The sequence below is a fragment of the Homo sapiens genome, chromosome 11 (genome assembly GCF_000001405.40).
Source record: "Homo sapiens chromosome 11, GRCh38.p14 Primary Assembly".
Classification (NCBI taxonomy): Eukaryota; Metazoa; Chordata; class Mammalia; order Primates; family Hominidae; genus Homo; species Homo sapiens.
In genome coordinates this window covers 108,644,884-108,648,538 of record NC_000011.10, presented here as the reverse complement: position 1 = coordinate 108,648,538, position 3,655 = coordinate 108,644,884, and the positions used below count along the sequence as shown (strand labels likewise).

General features: G+C 42.1%; 2 annotated features.

Moving 5' to 3' along the window:
- Positions 310 to 359: an enhancer, noted in NCBI's record as "active region_5491". NCBI's record gives its function as "activates an Ori minimal core promoter by ATAC-STARR-seq in GM12878 lymphoblastoid cells {active_cell/tissue: GM12878}" and the evidence as "EXISTENCE:reporter gene assay evidence [ECO:0000049][PMID:35858748]".
- Positions 390 to 439: an enhancer, noted in NCBI's record as "active region_5490". NCBI's record gives its function as "activates an Ori minimal core promoter by ATAC-STARR-seq in GM12878 lymphoblastoid cells {active_cell/tissue: GM12878}" and the evidence as "EXISTENCE:reporter gene assay evidence [ECO:0000049][PMID:35858748]".

Sequence of the window (3,655 nt, the reverse complement as noted above, 5' to 3'; positions counted from 1 at the left end):
TGAAAAGGAATTTAGTATTGTGATCTAAGCCTGTGGTCACTGAAGCCATATCAGCACTAGGAGGCGCCTTAAGCCCAGTAACGCTGCAACTGCTGCAGACTCCTAGAAGCACTGCCTTGATGGGCTTGGGTAAAATAAAGTATAATCCCTAGTTTACCAGGCAAAGACTCTTGCTTTCTTTCCTCTTTTTCCCCCATCAGGAGTCTCTCTTTGCGCTGCGCCACCTGGATTTGGGGAGAGGTGACACACGCATTCCCATGGCCACCACAGTTGGCACTGTATTGGGTCACATCTGAAGCCAGTACAGTGCTGGGTCTCACCCAAGGCCCTTAGGACTACTGCCTGGCAACTGCTGATGTTTGTTTATTCAAGGTCCTAGGGCTCTTTAGTCAGCAGGTGGTGGATTCTGCCAGGTTCTTCCTTTTCTGGCCCAGGCTGGGTCTGGAAATACCATCATGTGATGGTAGCTAAGGCTTCAAACTAGGGGCCTCAGGAATCTGCATGACGCTTCATTTTACTGTGGCTGAGCTGGCACCCAAGTTGCAAGACAAAGTCCTCTATGTTCTTTCCTCTCCTTTCTCCAAGTAGAGGAATCTCTCCCCAAGCTGCACTATCTGGATTAAGGGGAGGGATAAGTCAGGCACTACCTTGGCCACCACAACTGGTGTCTCACTGGGTCACATGCATCCCAAGTCTACTGGCTCTGAGCCTAGCCCAGCACTGTGGTTTGCCCAAGGGCTACAGTCCTTGTGACCTGACTGCCTCCCAAATTTATTCTGGGCCTCAGCCACCGGTGGTGGAGCTGGACGGGAACTCAGGATACTACCGCTGGGGCAGAGGATTCCCCTTTGGTCTAGATAATCTCTCTGTGGGTGCCAGCAGAATTCTTCTCTGTGTTGTTTTCCACTGTGACAGGCAGCAAAGTCCCACACTCACTTTGCTCTCCCTCCCACAAGAGCACATGTTCTCTCTCCACGCTCAGTGTAGTACTGCCAAGGGATCGAGGAGGGTGGTATAGGCAATGCGAGGCTGTCTTTCCTATCCTCTTCAATTCCTCTTTCCTTGATATAATGTTAAACAGGTACTGCCTTATGAATGTGCTTTCTTACATGAATAATTGTTCATTTGCTGGAGGGTTCTATCTGACCACCTTGCTCTGCCTCCTCCCCCCATATTCACCTTTATAAATAATTGACTTTTTAACAAACTTTTGGAACAAGTATTTTGGTAAGGAAAGCATCTTTAATAAATTGATAGTGTAATACATTCAGTGTCACCATGGAACTTCCTGGAGTATATTAGTGATTAAAAACACAGCTGAATTATAACCAGATATAGTGATTGAATGAAATCAAAATGATAATGGTTTTATATTTCCATATATCAAGTGAAAAAGATGAATGTCCAGTCATACCTTCATTAATTGTTAAAATATTTGGAGTAATGTATATTTAGAAAAACAAATGAAGAGAAAGCTAGGTAATTCCCACTAGGTTATTTAGGCAGATACATTATTCTTCAAAAATATAGCAAGTAAATTGAAAGCATTTCTTGCTTGGTTATCTATATATATGCGTAGTGCTTCTGCCAGACCATTTAGCTGGCAAAGTCTTGTTCAGCACAAACACAAATCATTCATGCTAAAAACAAGCCAATTTGTTTGTGTGCAGAAACCACTATCTCCCATGCTGATCTGGAAACAGAAAATGGCTTCAAAATTCTATCAGCAAGAACAATCTAGTGTGTAATAACAAATATTCAGTACATAGCAGAAGATACAGTTAATTGCTATCACATTTTTGTTTGTGTTGGTTGGTTGGTTGGCTGGTTGGTTGGTTGGTTTTAGAGACAGGGTCTCACTCTGTCATCCAGGCTAGAGAACAATGGCATGATCATAGCTTACTGTAGCCTTGAACTCCTGGGCTCAAGCAATCCTCCCATCTCAGCCTCCCAAGTAGCTGGGACTATAGGTGCATGCCACTACAACCAGCTCATTTTTAAATTTATTTTTGTAGAGTCGGGGTCTTGCTATGTTGCTCAGGCTGGTCTCAAACTCCTGGCTTCAAGCAGTCTTCCCACCTCGGCCTCCCAGAGTACTGGGATTATAGGCATGAGCTACTGTGCCCAGCTGTTAATGCTATATTTGAAATTCTACTTGTACTTCTTATTATGTTCAAATTATATCCTGAATTTAATAATTTAAAGTAAATAGAATCCTTGTAGTCATCAAGGAAAGCAAGGCAGTAACAGAGGAGAAAATGATTTCTGAAAGCAGGTGGTTTTCTAAATATGCAGATATTTATCACTGCAGGCCATAACACAGCTATGCATATTTTATTATTAACGAAGTATGCAGTGTATGCCTATAAATATTTGCCTGGGATTTTCCAAGCATCTTGTTCATGATACCATTTGGGTGATTATGGTCGTCTTTAACATGTAGACACAAGCATCAACATACCCCTTAGGTATTTATATGACAGGTTATAATTTAACAGATTTTTCCATTTTCTGCCTACTTGATTCTGTACTAGGTTCTGCCCTCATATTCTTCTATCTAAATCTGAGCCATCACCTAAAACACACTGCAAGTGTTTCCTCCATCGAGCTCATAGCAATTCTTTCTGCATAGAGTTCTCATGCTGTTTGGCATTGTTATGGGATTCTTCCCGTGCTTTTTCTTTCTAGAGAGATCATCCCTCCCCTCTGTGGAACATAAGGAGTGGAGGAAAAGCCAAGTCCCCTGGCACTCTTCAGTTTAATAATTACAGCTTTGGCCATCCATGAGTGTAACTACCTCCCTCCAAGAAATAAGTCAGACTCTATCGGGACAGCCTTGGGTCCAACTGCAAGAAGTCACTGTTGAAGACATTATGCTATGTGAAAAAAAAGCCAGTCATAAAAGACCACAAAGTGTATGATTCCATTCATATGAAATAACCAGAATATCCAAATGTATAGAAACAGAAGGTGGATGAGTGGTTGCCTAGGGCAGTGGGAGAGGGTAGGGAGGCAGTGGGGAAAATGGAGAATGACTACTAATGGGCATGACATTTCTTTTGAGGATGAAAATGTCCTAAAACCATGGTGATGGTTCCATAGCTTTCTTTCTTTTTTAATATTTTATTATTATTATTTTGCATAGCTTTTAAAATATACTAAAAACCATTGAATTGTACTGGCTTTTGTTTGTTTGTTTGTTTTTGTTTTTGTTTTTGTTTTTTTGAGATAGGTTTCACTTTGTTGCCCAGGCTGGAGTGCAGTGGCATGAACATGGCTCACTGCAGCCTCAACCGCCTGGGCTCAAGTTATCCTCCTGCCTCAGCCTCCCAAGTTCCTAGGACTATAAGTGTGTGCCACCATGCCTAGATAATTTATAAATTTTCTCTAGAGACTGGGTTTTGCCATATTGCCCAGGCTGGTCTCGAACTCTTGAGCTCAAGACACCTGCCCACCTCAGCCTCGCAAAGTGTTGGGATTACAGGTGTGAGCCACAGTGCCTGGCCAAACTGTACATTTTAAATGTGTAAATTGTTTGGTATGTGAATTATATCTCAATAAAGCTGTTAAAAAAGAAACCATTGTCCCTACATCAGCCACTACCCTCAGAGTCACCCTATGTGTATGTGTACTACAAATCTCTGTAATTATCAAG